The 20,382-nt window shown below is 37.2% G+C and overlaps 1 protein-coding gene across 5 annotated transcripts in view; it reads left to right on the top strand.

Annotated features, from left to right (window-relative positions):
- ANK3 (ankyrin 3) overlaps positions 1–20,382 on the top strand; it is a 707,231-nt gene that overhangs the window by 606,150 nt on the left and 80,699 nt on the right. For all 5 annotated transcript variants that reach the window (NM_001204403.2, NM_001204404.2, NM_001320874.2 and 2 more), the window contains 2 exons: positions 13,048–13,154; positions 18,325–18,549. In NM_001204403.2, the coding sequence (NP_001191332.1) occupies positions 13,048–13,154; positions 18,325–18,549 (332 nt within the window). The remainder of the gene's footprint in view (positions 1–13,047; positions 13,155–18,324; positions 18,550–20,382) is intronic.

Genomic DNA, 20,382 nt, shown 5'->3' with positions numbered 1-20,382 from the left:
TGGCAGTGCCTGGATCTGATGGTCGAATCCCTAACCCCACCCATTTCTCAGCTAATGTTGTTTAGAAGGGGCATAAGTCCCTCCTGTTCTGCAACAGTGAGACCCAATTCTGGCCGTTCAGAGCATTCCTATCTCCTGGATTACAGCAATTACTTTAGGATAAAAAGTGAAATCTGAGCCCATCTAGTGAGACTCAAATTTGAGACTTTGTCTAACCTTTTGGGAAAGAGAAACTCTACTGGGGTTCCTAAGCTATAAAGATGACATACGTCCAAAGCTGCTGGGAGTAGAATGTGAAGACCAATGATTCCTACCATCATTTGAGCTGGATTCAACCGACCTTGAAGTTAGCACCATACAGATTTTCTTGCCATATAAACCAGCAATTTAATTTCAGTCTTCCCCCATCCCTGGAAAGGGAGTATCTTAAACCAGTTCAGTTTGGTTTTCTGTCATTACTAATGTGGTTGCTATTGGTGGTAATGAAACCTGGTAGGAACAACCACATATCAATGGGAACATAAAACGTCTAGCATCTTAAAGTGCCATTCAACCTTGAGATTCTATTATTTTATGCTTTCTCTCTAGAAATAAGTAAATCCAATATTAACAAAAGAGAAAATGAGGAACTATGATTTAAGAGAATGCTATAAAGTTGGGGATTTCTTTTTTCTTTTCTTTTTTTTTTTTTGAGACGGAGTCTCACTCTGTCACCCAGGCTGGAGTGCAGTGGCATGACCTCAGCTCACTGCAACCTCTACCTCCCGGATTCAAGCAGTTTTCATGCCTCAGCCTCCCCAGTAGCTAGGATTACAACCATGCACCACCACACCTCGCTAATTTTTTTGTATTTTTAGTAGAGATGGAGTTTCACCATACTGGCCAGGTTGGTCTCAAACTCCTGGCCTCATGTGATCCACCCGCCTCTGCCTCCCAAAGTGCTGAGATTACAGGCGTGAGCCACCACACCTGGATAAACTTGGGTATTTCTAAACAAAAACTTTAGAAAGGAGCCCCTTGCCAATTGATCACTCTAAAATGAACACCTTCCATTTCCTTGTAGTTCTGTTGACTTAGGGGCAGTGCATCTGTGAAAAGAGAGGAATGGGACAGCTGTTTGGCCCTGTTCTCTCTCTGAGTAGATTTCTTTCTTTTGAAGACTTCCTTTTCAGACCAGATTTGCCTACATGGTTTGTTCCTGAGGGGACTAGTGGCAGGCCTTCAATAGTGACTGGTTTAGAAGACTTAACTAGACTATGATGTCAACAGTTGCACTGGCTGTTTGAATGCTGACTGTGGAGAAAATTCTGTAAGTGATATTGGAGGCCTCATTATAGCCATCATGTACAGGAAGGCTGCTGTCACATCTTCCACCCCATAACTCTTCTCATTTATTTCACAGCCAAGGATTCTGGTTCCTTTGGATTGGACTTGGTCTTTTTTGAGGCTAAGGATGATTTCATATACATTTAGTCATATAATGTGTAATGTACAATTTGATATGTTAGCAAGTAGTGTGAAAATTGGAGCATTCTTCAGAAGAAACTTCCTGCTCGTATTTTCAAGATCCAAGCATTTTCAATTACCTCAGTAATAGGAAGGGAGAAGAATACCTAACCCAAAAGACTGCCTATGCTAACAGTCAGATTTTCCTCCTCTACCTCTCAACCCTATTCCACCCACACTCCCACCCCCATCTCCCACACCCGTCGGCAGATTAACCTTGCTATTTCTTTCACATAAGCTAATTTCTAAGGGGGGTGCTCAGAAACGTGCATGGTGGCAGAAGGTAGCCAGCCTCAGATTAAAGATTTGCTAGAGATAGTCCCCCTAGAAGATAGGCATCTTTGACTGGTGACATTTAATATGCTGCTTTCTCTCTTCAATGTGCTTTGCCAGCATTATTCAGGTGATGCATTCAACACCTCTCAACAATTGGTCAGCAAGATTACAGATTTTTTGTTTTAAGGCAGAGAAGTTGGTATTGTGACTTCCTTAAGGTAGTGCAGTTAGTTTTGATGTCTCAAGCTGGGTGTTGACACGCTCAGCTTCCACTCTGACCTTGATTCACCTTCTTTTGTTCGAGTTCATAACCAGATTGTCTTGAAATCAATCCAATTCGGAAATTTAATGAACGAAATTTCTTTATATGCTATTCTCAAAATAAGTCTTAAGAGTAATAATAGTTGACTTCAAGAAAATAAATACCGTAAGGGAAAAAAGACCTGCTTTTTCTATTATAGTAGGCCTTTAATTTTTATTTTATTTTACTACTTGTGTCAGGTTTCCTTTTATGGAATCCATTTCTTAAAAGTGTTTCCATGTAGTAGTGCTGGATGTTTAAACCTACTACTATCTATTTGGGTCGCGGTTTGCCATTTCACTCAATATCCACTGCACGTCACAATAATTATAATACTTAATACACTACCTGCCACAATATTTTATTAAATGCATCATCTCATTTCGTGCTTTTGGCTACCTAATGGAAGGGGTATTATGATTACCACTTTACAGACGAGGAGACTAGGGCTGTGAGGAGTGTTTAGCTTGTCCAGTTAAATAGCTTGTCCACAGCTATTAGGCGGTAGAGCTGAGAATGGACTGTAAACCTGATGGGTGCTTAAACCCATTCTCCTGCTGGCCACTAGGCAATAGTGCCACTCTAATAAGCAAAGCATAGCAGATCTGAGTAAAGCATGTTAGCCATGGGAAGAATCGATGCGTAGACAAGTATTTTGCAAAGCAAAAACACCACTATTATTTCTGTTAATCCAGCAGGCAGCTCTGACTTCTCCCTGTGATGTGAAAAGGATATGCTATCCTAAATATCTACATAGAGGGATGCAACATTATAGAAATATAAGAAATAAATTATCTTCAATTATTAAAAATCTAGAGGTAGGCTGGGCACAGTGGCTCATTCCTGTAATCCCAGCACTTTGGGAGGCCAAGGTGGGTAGATCAGTTAAGCCAGGAGTTCGAGACCTGCCTGGCCAACATGGTGAAACCCCATCTCTACTAAAAATACAAAAAAAAATAAAATAAAATCAGCTGGGCGTGGTGGCACATGCCTGTAATCCCAGCTACTGGGGAGGCTGAGGCAGGAGAATTGCTTGAACCCAGGAGGCAGAGGTTTCAGTGAGCCAGCACAGATAGCGCCACTGCACTTGAGCCTAGGCGACAGAGTGAGACTCTGTCTCAAAAAATAAAATAAATAAATATCTAGGGGTATGAGATTAGCATCATCTGTGTTTTTGTTTGCATGGTAATTTAGAGTTTTCAAGCCACTTTCACATTACTTGGGTCATTCCATTCTCACAGTGAATCAGGGCAATTAATATTTTCTACCTGTCACCCTAATGCAGAAATGGAGATTCAGTGAGTTTTTTGACTTGCCAGTCACTGGGCTATGGAGTGACAGAGCCTGATTCAAACCCAAGTCATCTTATTCTTCGTGTGGGGAACTGACACCCACATGACTTCCTCTGCCTTGGCCCTGTCCAAGTTGTGGCCGTAGAGTGAAGTTATCCCTGATAGCCCTTTACTTTCTGTGGCTCCTAGTCTGATTGTATCATCCAACTGTTACTAAACTAAATTGTATTTACAATCTCCCAGAATTGTTGCACTGAGTGTTGCATGTGACCTGTTATTGGGAGATTTCCTGGTTGCTGTTAACATTAGCCTGTCAAGGCTACCAGTTAATTTGCAAGACCACCTTCACCCATAGATGGTAGAGCTGTTAGATAAGGAAACTTGCAGGGTTAGTTCTGGACCTTAACTCATGTCATCTAACACTGGAGGTTGACAGTCAGCAACGTAGAGAATTACTAATATTGGAGTTAATTGGATTTCTCCTTTTTTTCTCTCTCTCTTGCAAACACTTTCTTGACCCTGCCTCTTTCCTTCCCTGCCTGGACAATTATTTCCAGACCTGGGCATTTGGGTGTGTCCTTGTTTGTAAGGCCAGTGTGTACTTGTTCTCCTCTTTGCTCTGATGAATAGGACTAGTGAGAAACTATTTTTGGAAAGTATTAAGCTCTTGGAGACGGTGATATCATCATTAGTCAGGCTTTGGACTCCATTAAATAATGTGCATTTTCAGTTGAATAATCCTTGACATCACTTCCAAAATGAAAAGTAATGTGCTTATTCATATTATCTTTGACATGGGAATAAAAATTATTAAAAATTCCGTGTGAATTTTTCTTTAACATAGTGTTCTATTAAAGCCACCCAGTGCTAGGTGTTGACTTCGTATTGCCTAGTTTTTGAAGTCTTTCTAAACCTCATTTTCCTCATCTGTCAAATGGCTCCATTACTCTCAGGGCTAATAGGTTCTGACAACTCAAACAAAAAATGAATGTATGGGCCTAGGTCAGTCCTTACCATTGAACTGATGCACAGTAAGTTGTGGTAGTGCTGTTAACAAAGGAATGTAAATATTTTGAGTCAATAATAAGACCTAGGCATTGATAAGATGCATTCTTGAATGGCCTCCATTGGTTTGATAAAAGCATCCTATGTGTATTACTATAATGCCCCAGTGCTGGGACTGGAATATTTTTATTTTTGCTGTTTTCCACCATAAATGATCAGATTGTGACAAATGAGCTAATATAAGTGAAAGTCTTTTGAAAAGTATAGAAGGCTTTACACATATAAGGAGACATTATGATAATTCCATGCCAACACCAGCACTGCATTGGTGCCAGACTTTGACGTATATGTTTTCTTTTATCTCCATATCAACCATCCCCAGTTTGAAAATGCAGAAACTAAGACTGAAAAAAGTTGAGTAATCTGCTAATGATCACAAAACCAGCAGGTGATGCTGGGGCATCTCTGAAGGAGCTTTCAATAAGTAAAGATAAGGAAAGGTCAATGACAAAATATCTCCTTTATTCCTGATGGAGGCCAGGCGAGGACTGGCTTAGTGTCTGAGCCACGTGGGCCTGCTAACTGAATCCCTGAGATAGGCACACTCCCCTACCCAATGACTGTGGTGCTGGCCCAGGCCAGGCACACTCTTTGCAGAAGTAGGCTTTGGAGAGAAGAGGAGACTGCTCACTCTCTGTGCCCATAGATTGAAAACTGGATCTGAGCAGAACCTTCCTGGCTACCTTTCCCAAATCTATCATTCAGATACATCACTTTAATTTCCAGGGCTAAAATGAATATAAAGGGGTAGGGAGAGGCCCATAGTTACACAACTGGGTTGTCTTTTCAAACTGGAAAAATCGGGAGTGGGAAAGAAGTGTTTTCATTAACAAGTGGCAAAGGCAATTTCCAAATCTAAGTCTGTGACTCAACTTCAAAGCCAAGCTTTTCCATTGAGCCCAGGCAACACCCCTCCTTGCTGAGAAAACTTAAAAGTCAGGTCTAGTTCATCTTTAACCATCATCATATGTGGTATCCTGTTTATCATTTTTATTTTAAAATTTTTGTGAATACATAGTAGGCATATATATTTATGGGTGACATGAGATATTTTTATACAGGCATGCAGTGCACAATCACATCATGGCAAATGGGGTATCTATCACCTCAAGCATTTGTCCTTTGTGCTACAAACAATCCAATTATGTACTTTTAGTTATTTTACAATGTACAATTAAATTACTTTTGACTGTAGTCACTCTGTTGTACTACCAAATACTAGGGTCTTATACTTTTTTTTTTTTTTTTGAGAAAGGGTCTGGCCCTCTCACCTAGACTGGAGTGCAGTAGCACTACCTTGGCTCACTGCAACCTCCACCTCCCAGCTCAAGCCATCCTCCCTCCTCAGCCTTCCAAGTAGCTGGGACTACAGGCACACACCACCACGCTTGGCTCTTTTTTGCAATTTTTATAGAGATGGAATTTTGCCATGTTGCCCAGGCTGGTCTTAAACTCCTGAGCTCAAGTCATCTGCCCACTTTGACCTCCCAAAGTGCTGGGATTACAGACATGTGCCATGCACCCTGCCTTTATTCATTCTTCCTTTTTTTTTTTTTTTTTGGTGCATTTTAACCATTCCCACTACCCTCCACCCCCTGCACTCCCTCACTACCCTTCCCAGCCTCTGGTAACAATTTTTCTACTTTCGATCTCCATGAACTCAATTATTTTAATTTTTAGCTTTCACAAATCAGTGAGAACATGAGAAATTTGTCTTTCTGTGCCCAGCTTATTTTAGCTAACATAATTACCTCCAGTTCCATCCATGTTGTTGCAAATGACAGGCTCTCATTCTTTTTTATGGCTGAACAGTACTCCGTTGCGTGTACATACTCCATTGTGTATGTATTTTCTATTTCTATTCATCTGTTGATGGACACTTAGGTTGCTTCCAAATCTTGGCTATTGTGAATAGTGCTGCAATAAACATGGGCGTGCAGATGTCTCTTTGATATACTTCTTTTCTTTTGGGTATATACCTAGCAGTGGGCTTGCTGGATAGCATGGTAGCTCTATTTTCAGTTTTTCGAGGAACCTCCAGACTGCTCTCTGTGGTGGTTACATTCCCACCAACAGTGTAAGAGGGTTCCCTTTTCTCCAAATCCTGGTTAGAATTTGTTATTGCCTAACTTCTGGATAAAAGCTATTTTAACTAAGGTGAGATGATATCTCATTCTGGTTTGGATTTAAATTTCTCTGATGATCAGTGATGTTGAGGACTTTTTCACATACCGGTTTGCCATTTGTATGTCTTCTTTTGAGAAATGTCTATTCAGTTCTTTTGCCTATTTTTAGTTGGATTATTAGATTTTTTTTTTCCTTAGAGAGTTGTTTGAGCTCATTATATATTCCGGTTATTAATCCCTTGTCAGATGGAGAGTTTGTCAATACATTCTCCCATTCTGTGGGTTGTCTCTTCACTTTGCTGATTGTTTCTTTTGCTGTGCGGAAGCTTTTCAACTTGATGTGATCCCAGTTGTCTATTTTTGCCTTGGTTGCCTGTGCTTGTGGGGTATTACTCAAGAAATTTTTGCACAGTTCAATGTCCCGGAGAGTTTCCCTAATGTATTTTTTTTTAGTAGTTTCATAGTTTGAGGTCTTAGATTTAAGTCTTTAATTCATTTTGATTTGATTTTTGTATATGGCGAGAGATAGGGGCCTAGTTTCATTCTTTTGCATATGGCTATCTGATTTTCCCAGCATCATTTATTGAAGAGACTATTATTCCTCCAATGTACGTTCTTAGCACCTTTGTCAAAAATCAGTTCACTGTAGATGTATGGATTTATCTCTGGGTTCTATATTGTGTTCCACTGATCTATGTGCCTGATTTTTTCCCAGCACCATGCCGTTTTGGTGATTATATCTCTGTAGTATAATTTAAAGTCAGATAATGTGATTCTTCCAGTTTTGTTCTTTTTACTTAGGATAGCTTTGGCTGTTCTGAGTCTTTTGTAGTTCCACATACATTTTAGGATTTTTTTTTAAATTTCTGTGAAGAATATCATTATTTTGATAGAGATTGCATTGAATCCTTTGATTACTTTGGGCAGTATGGACATACTGTTAAATATTTAACAATATTTAACACTATTGATTCCCCCAATCCATGAACATGGAATCTCTGTTAATCATTTTATTTCTTTTTATTTATTTATTATTTTTTTGAGATGAAGTCTTGCTCTTTCGCCCAGGATAGAGTGCAACGGCACGATCTCGGCTCACTGCGACTTCTGTACCCCGGGTTCAAGCGATTCTCCTGTCTCAGCCTCCCGATTAGATGGGATTACAGGTGCATGCCACCACACCCGTCTAGTTTTCTTTTTGAATTTTTAATAGATATGGGGTTTCACCATATTGGCCAGGCTGATCTTGAACTCCTGACCTGAAGTGATCCACCCACCTCAGCCTCCCAAAGTGTTGGGATTATAGGCATGAGCCACCACCGCACCTGGCCCTGTTAATCATTTTAAATGTGTATTTGTTCAGTAATTAAATAGAGGCAAAGTTTTTTTGTTAGTACTGTGGTGCTATGCACAGTAACATGTCAGAACAAACATAAGTGAATAGTTGAAATTTTATATTTCGGTTTTAAGTAGATTCTAATCTGTAGGAGTAAGTCTTCGCAGACAGGTAGCATGGAAATGAAATACCAATTCAGTATCTATGTATAAAACCGTAGGTTCCATTGAATTGCTTCATTTTATATTTAGATGGATGCGCCATAGGAAGAGTATTTTGTTTCCCTGTATTTAGGTTATTAAAATTGAGTTACGTCTGCTCATAAACCTGAGGAAACCACAAAACTCAGAAGAGAAAGCACTAAGGTACCTAAAAACATGTTTAAGTGTTACTATCTGGGACAAATATTGGGACATATAGCTCAAAATAATATATAGCTCATTGTTTTGATCAAGTATGAGATTTGTTCGTGTTACAACAAAGCTTCAATGAGTGGCAGAGTTGCAAGACTAAAGAAGTTAAGAAAGGACTCAGAGGGATGTGGAATCCATGTCCTGGCACACTCTGGCTTTGATAAATATTACATGATTGCAGTGATACCTTTTTGTGAGACATAATTCATTGTTTCAATAATTAATGGCACCAGTGCATGTTTCTAAGAGTACCAAAGGTAAATAATTTACTGTAATTACCAAAGAGGAATGATATTATTTATTTATGAGAACTTTTTTTAAAAAAATGAACCTTTGTGAAAAATAACCTTAGGCTCCCCAGTGTAGGAACTGTAGCTTGCCCTCCACTCCACTCATGCCAAAAAAATTAAAGGAACATCACTACTTTGTATTAAGTGTTTTGCCCTACTCTGAAGGTTTGTTGGTTTGGGTCTCCAAAAGTCAGTATAAGTTGTTGTTAAATGAGGCCAGACTGAAACCAACACCTCATATTTGGTTAATCCATATAGAATTTGGGAACTTTCCTAAATGGTTTATTGCTTTTGACGGGTTAGAATCTTGGTTCCGTAGATTCTTATTAGAAGCTTAATTGCACACCCATTCACTAGATGTGTCCTCGCTCATTAAATGCAGATAAAGCTGTTCCTCATTCATGTTTGCATTTTCCTAGGATGTGGGTGAGATAGTGACTTGCATGTAATTGCTCTACAAATTTATTTTTCAATTTGACTTCAGGGCTATTTTTTAAAAATCTGTGTAATTCAGAGTAAGTTTTTAAATTTAGATTTTATTATTACCAAAGTTATGCAATTAAATAAAAAGCCACATCATTCTACAAGACACACTTGTTAGGAAAAAACATAATCCCCATATACACCTTCAGTCCCCAAGTTCTGCTTTCCAGAGACGAGTGCTTGGAATAATTTTTGATAACTCGTATGATGTGCTTGGATATCTCTAAATACTGCATGTATATTGTTCTTGTTGATTTTTCTCCATTTCAGGAATTATTTATTGACTTCCCCAAATGAAAGATGAAGCTTTTTTTTCCACACTTTTCCTCCCTATGCACACTTCGTATCCTCCCATTTCCGCAAACAGTTGTAATTTATTTTGCTTATATCTGTATTTGATGCTTATCTTGTTATGCCTGTGTAAATGTTACTCACATATGTGGCTTATATTATGATTGCTTTTTCTTTCTTTTTTTTGAGACGGAGTCTTGCTCTGTCACCCAGGCTGGAGTGCAGTGGCGCAATCTCGGCTCACTGCAACCTCCGCCTCCCGGGTTCAGGCGATTCTCCTGCCTCAGCCTCCCAACTGGGATTACAGGTACGTGCCACCACGCCCAGCTAATTTTTTGTATTTTTAGTAGAGAAGGGGTTTCACCATGTTGGCCAGGCTGGTCTCAAACTCCTGACCTCAAGTGATCTACCTGCCTCAGCCTCCCAAAGTGCTGGGATTAGTCATGAGCCACCGTGCCTGACCTGATTGCTTTTTCTTTCCAGCACAATATTTTATTTTCCCTGGAGTTTTTTCACTTGCTTGATGTCCTCTGTGCATATCAATAGTCCAACCCCAAAACTCTCCCCCAGTTGTACAAATCTCTCAATGTGTTCACATTCATTAGGTGATCTATGTGTCTCGTCTACTTACCTCATCTCGCTTAGAGCTTTCTTACTTGTCATATTCCTTGTAGGTCCACTGCACACAGATGTGCTCTTGGGTCTTCCTTCATCATAACCATGAAAATTCCCTTTGTTTTCTCTTGTGTTGGAGTCCATGCCCTCCCTTTTCTTGGGTCAGTCCTTCACTTTGGTGGAGTACATCTTCCATTAGTTTCCTCAGAGAGTGCATGAGAAATATGTTTTTTAAGGTGTTATATATCTGAAAATATCTGTCTAGTTTATACTTGTTTTTAATTTAGCTGGTTATAGAATTCTGACTTGAAGTCATTTCCTGTCAGCATGTTAAAGGAATTGCTCTATTGCCTTTTACCTTCACGTTTTGCTGTTAAAAGTCTGACACAGACCCTCCATCTGTGACCATTTTTTCTCTCCATGTTTATAGACCCTGTCTTTGTCTCCGAATTCTGAAATGTTACGATGATGTACCATAATGGGTTCTGTATTCATAGTGTTGGTCACTCACTGGGTCATTTTACGCTGGCAACCTCTGTCTTTGGCTCTGGAAAAGTTTCTTAAATTGTTTCCTTGATTTATTTTCCTTTGTTCACAATTTTTTTTCTTTCTAGGACTTCTTTTTTTTTAGACTGAGGGGAGGATTTGAACCTCCTGAACTTATCTTTTGCTTTCTTGTATTTTCTCTCCTATTTTCTAGAGTTAAAAATTTCTCTATACTTTCTAAGGTTTTTTTCAATATATTTGTTACTTCTAAGAGTTATTTTTCCCTAAATGTTTCTTTTTTTTTTAATAAGTAGTCTATTGTTTCATAGGTGTAAAAATATCTCATCTCTCTCTAGATATTAATGAATAATTTTAAGTTTTCTTCTCCCTGAAAAGCCTGTTTCCTGCAATTTGCTTTCCTTCTGTTTGCTTGTTTGTTTTGTTTTTATACTGGATGCTTTTTTCAGCAGTCTAGTGACGGTCAGCTGTCTACTCATTAATAAGCTCATTGGAAGCTCTCTGTATGGTGTAGAGGTTGTTATCCATGATTTCCACTGAAGTAATAAGCCAGAACATTTCACTGGGAAATTCCAATGGGCAGGTCAGAATCCTCAGAGACTTCCCATTTTTTGCCTAGAACTCTGTCCCCAGCTGTGTCTGGGAGACCAGTAAAGGAAGGGTGCGATTCTGAATATTCAGTGTACAATCCCCATTTTCAATATGGTGCCTCTAGCCTTCTAGTCTCCTGCCTGTAGTCTTCTGCTAGGGTTGGTGGTAGTGATGGCAGGGGATCATTATTTGACAACTGAGGGGATTATGAAGGTCAAATCACTTTTTAAAGAGAATTCTAGCCAATCCTTCTGTTTTTCTGCTGATGTGTTTTCTCTTATTCTCTCTGTCCTTTCTGTGTCTGTATTTTTAACTATGTGACTGTCATTTCACTGAGGTTTCAGTAGGCAGCAGATTGTGGGGGATCTGTGGGCTAATACCTTTTATCACATTGGCACATTCATAGCCATTATCTTTTCAAATACAGCTTCTACTTTATTCTCTTCTTCTCTTCTATTTCTAAGGGTCCAATTTACACCTATGTTAAAATCTCTCAATGTTCCACATCTTGTACTGTTTTCTTTCTTTTTTTTAACCTATCCTTCATTTTGTATATTTTTCCATTTAGGGCTCTAACTTAACCCTCTTTTATATTGTGTCTAAGTAAAGAACTGACATTGTATTTAGCACTGAACCAATGCCCATTTGATTCCTTCTTATGTATATTCTAGCATTCTATCCCATTTAATTTATTTTCTCTATCTTTCCCTGTGTTTTTGTAAACATACTAATCATAGTTATTATAAAGCACTTATTAGCTTACCTCAGAATCGGGATGGCCTGGGAGTCTATTTATAGTGTCTCTCTAGCTTGGTTTGGTTTTATTTCATTTTTCTGGTTTTATCCACACACTCTGACCATGCTTGGCAATTTTTCACTTTATGCTAGACATGGTGTATAAAAAATTGTGGACACACCCGATGGTGATATATTCCTTCACAGAATGTTTGCCCTCCCTCTGCTAGGCAAATAGAATAGTAAATTTTAATTCAATTAAGATTTTGCTGAAATGAGGCTGGTCTGCAGCCCTGGTGAAAGCTCACACTACCTCTGGTTTCCCCCCAGCACACCAGCATCCTTATTTAAAATCGTTGTATGATCTTCAAATCTCTTCCCATTATAAGTTCTAAACTTTTAAGTCATTTTCTCATTACTGCCAAAAATCTCCATTATGCTCTTCAGAGATATTTCTGGTTAGGTTTTGAGCTTCCTGTTCTGCACAGCTTCGGAATTCAGCAAATGTTCTTAGCAGGAAACTGTAGCATGCTTGAGGCCACCCAAATCTCCACCAAAACTCTCCTGGCTTTTCTGTTCAACAACAGTGACCCCTGTAGGTTAAAAGTACAAATCTGTTTGCACTGGTAACTGACAAAAGCCTGTAAGTTAAAAATGGGCAACAGAAAGTCAACTCAACTCCTGAAGATGTTCACCCTCCCAGAGTTTGGTAGTTCTTTTAGTTCTCGATGCTTCAACCGCCCTCTGCTGCATTCAGATACAATTGCTGTATTTTATCTGGCTTACTTGGAAGAAGCACTAGGCTGCTACTAGCTACTCCGCCCCACTTGGAACCAGAAGTCATCAAGATTGAATTTTTCATTTTTTATTTTGAGAATTGGGAAAAAAAATTACAGTTGTTATAGGATTAATTTGAAGACATGTTGAAAATGTGACATGTGCTTAAAATCATAGTTGGAGTTAGTTATGTGATATTTCTTTGCCATGTCAGTTACCCAGGGAGCTTTCTTAAAAGATTGAAATAAAACAATACATCAATAGACTTTGTTTTCTAACATTACACTCAGATTTCAATGTATTTCTATAGAGGAGAATTTAAAAATTATTTATGTTGAATGTAAGTCTATCTGGAATTAGAGGAATACAAATATATTTTATATGTGTAGAGAAATCAGTCTTGTATGGTTTGTTGATGTAATTTAATTTACCATTTTATTTTTCAGCATCTAACATTCACAAGGGAATTTGATTCAGATTCTCTTAGACATTACAGCTGGGCTGCAGACACCTTAGACAATGTCAATCTTGTTTCAAGCCCCATTCATTCTGGGTAAGTAACCTAAATGTCACTTTTCATTATCCTACTACATGAACAGTGCATTTATTACTTAGAGTTATAAATTCACATCAACAAGCTTCATATATATGAATACATTCATGTATGAAATGTATATTCATTAGTATATGTGAGATGTATTTGTAAATCATTGTTTTTTTCTAAGTAATTCTGTATGAGTTTTTTTTTTGAGAAAAATTTAATTTTGTTAGAAAAATAATGAAATTACTAGTACAACAAACTTTCCTGGCTGTTCTAATCTTCTAGGTCTTTAATTTTCCTTTTCAGAAAATTTCCTTTTTAAGTTTTTTAAAATTTGAAACATAATGATTTTTCTCCGTTTTACTTTTCTATTCAAATGAAGTTTTTCTAGGTATCTGATTTTTCTTTCCAATAGAAAATTAAATATGTAAGTATGCCTGTTAATTTACCTTAACTGACTTTTGTGCTTCCCTTAATAATAGAAGAATTTCTCTCAAATATTTAGTAGTTGTTTTTGTTTTTTGTTTTTGACTGGGTCTGGCTCTGTCAGCCAGGCTGGAGTGCAGTGGTGCAGTCTTAGCTTACTGAAACCTCTACCTCCTGGGCCCAAGCCATTCTCCCACCTCAGTTTCTTGAGCACCTGGGACCACAGGTGTGCACCACCATGCTCGGATAATTTTTGTATTTTTTCATAGAGATGAAGTCTCGCCATGTTGCCTAGGCTGTTCTCAAACTCCTGAGCTTAAGCAATCTGCCCGCCTTTGCCTCCCAAACTGCTGGGATTACAGGCATGAGCCGCCACACCTAGCAAATATTTAGTTTTTAAATGAGCAGTAAGCTCTGGTATTGTCATTTTTTTCTCATATGATACAGGTCTTTGATTTGATAAATGATTTGTGTGATTTTCCTTTTAAAAGAATATATAAATTTGAACTTTCGAGTTGGTGCCTCTGCATTTCTGAAGTAAAATTACAATTAAGTTGTATTAAATTGTAATTTTAAAAAATGAATAAAAAGAATAAAGATATTTACTTAAAAAAAAAACATACCAGTGTCTACACTGGAAGTGCTGTGGTTAAAAACCACACCGAGTAGCCTCCTCATCCTGCCTCCCTGGTCAATGGAATTCGAGGCAGGAGGCTAAAAGGGGACCTGCTTCAATTACTGAATTAATAAATTAGTGTATCTTTAGATACTGGATTCTTCATCTTTGGGTAATTCAAATTTGGGATAATTGACATCCATATAAGTAGAATCAAAATAATTCATTAAAATGATGAATATCTCAAGGTGTTTTTGCCTTTGAAATTGGCATTTAGGCCATAAGTTAATTGTGATCAAGGACAAGGGCAGATTATTTTGGAATTAAATAAATTAACAACAATTAACTTTTGTGAAGTGCTTCATATATTATATGAAGTATTTGCTGCTGCTCCTAATTAAAATAAATTGTAATAGCTAACGTTTACTTACTTCTTGTCGTGTACCTGGCATTGTGCTAAATCTTTTACATGTATTGTCTCATTTATATTTACTTGAACCTTATAATGATACTGTGAGATACGTATTACTCATTATCCTCATTTTACAAATAAAAAATCAGACTCAGAGGAATGCTTCAGGTTAAAATACCGTTATAGATTTTGGCTTTGTAATACTACAATTCTGAGAAACAGAACAATATCGTTCAAATGGGAATAATTGACATGAAAGTGTTTCATAAATTATAAACTTTATGGTGGCTTTTGAGTTAGTAACATTGCATTTCTTTAACTCAATTAGAGAAACCTTGAATTATTATAATTTTAAACTGCTAAAAATATTTATATAATTTATATTCAATGCATATGGGTCTAATATTGGAAAAGCAAAAGAAAAAATCAGATTCAAGAAGGAAACTATATAACATCTGGGATACATTCAGGGAGCAAAGATGTTGAAGAGTTTTTTGAATCACGCTTGATGAATTGCCGCCATATTTCAAAGACCTGAAACCATCACTTTGTATTCTCTACAAATCAAAGACAAGGTACTAGGGCTTAATTTAGTAAACTGAGAAGTTGAAGAAACATGATAACAAAATCAGAAATGAACTTTCCCATACATTAAAAACAATGAAGTATTTGAGTATGCAAGTTATCTCCCCTTCACCTTGAATGTTATTGAAGACAAGAGAGACAATAGACATGTGCAGGAAAGCAAAAGTAATGGCAGCAGGTGTGGGCTTATTTGAAAAGGAAAATATAGACCTGGTGTGCACTTAGAAATATTTCACTGATGCCAGGTCCTTGCAGTTTATGCAGCTACATAAGGCAGATATTTTTCTAGGTTGTCCCACAAATGCCAGATGCCCTGGTTTCATTTTCTGATGGTTTTTATTTTTCCTTTGCTTGTCATTGACATTTTCTGTTGCTTGCTTCTAATTATATTACATTAATTCTTCCCATTTGCTTTCTAAATTATTTTGCAGCTATTCTTCTCCACTTCCTCAGTATGATTCAAGGTGATAACTGTGTCCTTTATGTGAACCATCCTTTTTGTATTTTTAATTTATGTGAATTTTTGCCATAGTTAGATCGTGTCAATGTCTGTAGTATATCAGCATTTGTCATCCTGCTGTTCCTAAAACTAGAAACATTCATGTATTAGTTTTAGGATCATTTGTAGAATTTGTGCTATAGTTTAAATATTAATGATACAAATATTATTATATATCACCTTTTTAATTTGTTCTATAAGTTATGTTGCATGACTTTTTCACACAATATGTAAGACATGAGTTTGTAAAACAAATCACTATATTTTATAATGTTATTAAATAATAGGACCCATGTCCTGTTTAATGAATAGTCCCACTTTTCCTCAGTCTGTTGACTCTATGAAGTTGAGAACCTCAGAACAATAAATGGTTGCTGGTGAGCACCAGCCATGTACTGTGTGCTATACAGAACACAGAGAAAGAGACTCTTCCAGTTTGTTGTTAATATCATGTTAACTAGTGTTTTTTCCATTGGTTCTGATATTCTTTACAGCTGAGATATTTTTATTTTAATCTGATAAACTGTACGCTACCTTCAGTCCACTCAGCTCCAATCAGCTATCTACCTATCTATCCACCCATCAATCCATTAGTATTAGTAACCGAGTCTCACCTACACAGTTTCTAAGCAAAATAGTTTTATTCATTGGTTCATTCAGTAAGCATTTATCACGTCCCTATTTTGTGCTAGAATTGTGCTTGGCTCTGCAGGTCAATCAGTGAACAAGACAGACCCAATCAGAATTACTCTCTATATTGTTGAGACTCAGCGGTTGCCAGGGCAAACATTCCCCTCTCAGTGGAAACATTCCAGTGTGTGTGTATGTGTGTATGTGTGTACTGACACAACTGAATCTTCAAGCCCAGAGTTTGTCGTGAATCGTTTTAAATCCATTCTGTTACTATTATTCCTAATGAAAAATTGATTTTTGTAGTTACAACTACGAAGTGCAGGGAATGATTTGATTTTTGTCTTATAATATTGCCATATTGCCTTCATTATTGAATAAAAGTAGTTGTTAAATATACGTATGTCTAAGAAAATGTAGGCAGCCCAGAGCAATTTCAGGTGAGCCTCATGTCTTTTAGCATTGGTAACAATTCATCCCGACACTTGTACAAGTGAACAAGTATCTTTTTCTTTGACTAGGGAGGAGTGATTTTTGTTTTCTTTTTGTTTTTGAGAGAGTCAGTGTTTTCCCCTTTTACCTTGATTATCGTAGTGGTCCCAATCTCCCAAAATCGATAGAATGTTGTAAGAGACATAAATTCATTCAGAGTAAAATGGTTAAATCCAAAATGAGCAAAAGGGTATGAAGACGAGTCCACCTTACTGATGAGCAGAGTTGGTTCTAGGAATCTGATAGGCTGAAAAATGATCGCCAGCCCATTGCCTCTGCCTGTGGGGATCACAGGCCAGTTTGCTTGAAAAGGTCACTCTTTCAAGGTCAAGAGGTAGCATTCTTCAGAAGACGGTCCCCAGCTAGGAAGTCCATGCAAGGTCTTAAAATCTGTTTGCAGGATGTTAGCATTGTTTTTAGGGGAAAAAGTAGTAAAGATTTTTGATGGATGGGACTTTTTTTTTCTAAAAACACTTTAAGAATTCCGACAATTTTCTAATTATCACCATTTTGTACTGTGCTAGTAGTAATCTGTGTATTTTCATACGTGGAAACTAGAATACAGGGATATATTTGTGTTCCCCTGTCTGACCTTAACTCTTCCACACATTGAACTCATTGATTTATGTTTACTTATAACTCTGTGATAACGATAACTGTGTTATAACTCTGTGATGATGATAGTGGGACCATGCATATGTGATAGAAGACAGTGATTCCAATATGCTTCTACCCAAAAATAACAGTTAATTTCTTTATAGTTCTATACCTATTAATACATGCAGACAGTTTTTTCCTTATTAGCTTTAATAAAAGGCCAATGACAGAATTATGTTATTTAGAGCCATTTTCTAAAAGTCTAAGTTCCACTTTTTTAATCATTGTATAAAATATTCAAATGTAGGTTATTTCAGACAGCTTTTAAGCCCATATTTATACTGAAAACATTTAATCTCTTTCCATCAAAATCACCGTAGCAAATCTAGTCATCTCCTGCTTTTATTCTTATATTCTGCTTCATCATAGTAAAAATTAGTGTTGGTATGATTAAAAATACATTTATTTTATGAGTCGTAAATATCAAGACATACTGTGGAGTTTCATCTTACTTGTAAGAGACCATATGGCAGCATATGGCAAAAACCACTTATAGTTAAAATGACCTTTGAATATAAAGACCACAGTTTTTTTGTTTTAAATGCATGAGAATCCTGTTACTAGACCGATTTTACTCCAGTTTTGAAACCTTCCTTATTCCTTCCATTTGAGCCTGGTAAAGTAGTTGGCTTTTCTATGGGGGCCATGTTCCACCAAAAACAAGTTGTGTTTCAGTTTTTGCAAAGTGCACAAGTTAAATGCATGTTTGATGTGACTCCACTGTATTGACTTCTGATTTATCTTTAGAGGAAATGATAGCTACATTGTCTGTCGCTTTAAATAAACTTAAACATTTAATTTCCAAACTTGCTGTGAGCACAGTTTATTTCCGTCCTTGAATTGGCCTCTGATCTTCTCCCCTCAGGTTTCTGGTTAGCTTTATGGTGGACGCGAGAGGGGGCTCCATGAGAGGAAGCCGTCATCACGGGATGAGAATCATCATTCCTCCACGCAAGTGTACGGCCCCCACTCGAATCACCTGCCGTTTGGTAAAGAGACATAAACTGGCCAACCCACCCCCCATGGTGGAAGGAGAGGGATTAGCCAGTAGGCTGGTAGAAATGGGTCCTGCAGGGGCACAATTTTTAGGGTAAGTTGTTTTGTCAATTTTAACCTTGGCCCTCACAATGCATCTTTGATTTTCTTTACCCTTGTTAACTCAAGGAGATAACTCTTAAAACTGCTTAGTTGTACCTGATTGAGTATACTTTTTGTAAAGTGTCAAAGGTCACAAAGCTGTGTGATTCTGTGAAAGGCTAATAGGCTGATACTTTCTTAACTCAGTTTGCTAGTCAAGGCTTTTACTAACCGAGAAGCATGTTCTCTGCTCAGCAAGTGCACGGAACCCCAGTGGTCCCTGTAGAAGTCAAGGCACCATTCTAGGGAAAAAATACAGATGCTGGAATTATTTTACCGCATTGAATATATGGCTACTTTGGGGACATGTCTTTTTAAAGAAAATTTTTTGGGAAACAGTTCATTGTGATATGGTATTTTACAAAAAGGAAAAATGAATTTAATTCATTTTCTGAGGTGGCACTTGGGTACAAATCAGGCAGGCTCTGTCGTGACTGACAGTTTGTTCACAATTTCCCCTTCTCGTTTCTCTTTCTGCTGCATGGATGTTATTCAGTAAACTGCATCTTCCTACCAATCCTCCCCCTGTAAATGAGGGTGAGAGCTTGGTTAGCCGAATCCTGCAGCTTGGGCCTCAAGGAACAAAATTTATTGGGTAGGACCTTTATAGACAAGATACAGAATGTCTACAATTTTTTTTTTTCCATTTTCAATTTTTTTCTGTCACACCCATGGTCTGATTCTTGTCTTAAGTTTATTTTTATTTTTTAAGTTTTTTTTAATGCTTTCAGTTGATGTGTGTCACTGAAAGAAAAAAAAATCATAGTGGCTTGACTTAATGTAGCACCGCTACCTATCTTGTGCTTTTCAGGCATGTGGAATTCACTGCAAGCATTCTGCTTTCATAACTTCGTGCTTTTGTAAACCTTTCTTTTATTTGAAATGTTTCTTCTGAATATGATACTTTTTAAGACAGCAAAAGTCTTTAACCCAGTGTAAGAGAAGGTATTTGCAGGCTTTGAGTCAACATTTGCTATCAATTACATGTATGTACACCTGTGTGTGTGTGTGCGCGTGCGCATGTGTGTGTGTGTGTAATTAGATCTTTTAAAAGTACATGAGTACTGTGTAATTTTTTATGGGCTTTGAGAAGAAGTCATCAATAAGTAAACTGATTTTGAAAAGTGTTGGGAAAATAAGATATTTAAATAAAATTAAATAGGCAGCAGATAGAGTATTCTTTTAAAGTTATAAAATTGTTTCGTTTGGTTTTGTTTGAGCTGAAATGCATTGGTATTTGTTGTTTGTTCACTTGTCTGTTTGATTGTTGTATTTGCCTTGGCAGTCTGCATGAAGAAACCTGTTAATGAAAAGCTATGCTTGGCTTTCACCTTGATCAAAGACCCTTGTTCATACCTTCTCTCCAATATCATTGAACATCATACATAAAGCCACATTCCTTAAATATTTACAGAGACAGTATCTGACATATTAACCTGCAAAGATTGTATCTTGTTCTCAAAAATAAATACAATTTAATGTTTAATTATAAGGTGTAGTTAAAAACTCTGGTAAATATCTTAATCTTGAAATTATTAATACTGCTAAGAACACTTGATTTTGTTTCTACCTATTGAAGAATAAAGGCATTATAAAAATTATTTTTTAATCTTTAATTTGAATGAATTATGATTTTGCTAAAAGCAAAATGACCATATTTATCATCCCCGTTTGAAGCAAATGCTTTTCTAATAAATCGATATTCATGTTTTTATTTATATTATTTGATCATTACAACTACTATCCCTTTTTCTGCTCTTACTTACTTAAGCCTGTATCTTCTGTT

This window comes from Homo sapiens, chromosome 10 (genome assembly GCF_000001405.40).
Source record: "Homo sapiens chromosome 10, GRCh38.p14 Primary Assembly".
Lineage (NCBI taxonomy): Eukaryota > Metazoa > Chordata > Mammalia > Primates > Hominidae > Homo > Homo sapiens.
Note: the sequence above shows the minus strand (reverse complement) of the source record. Positions and strands in the feature narration are given on the sequence as shown.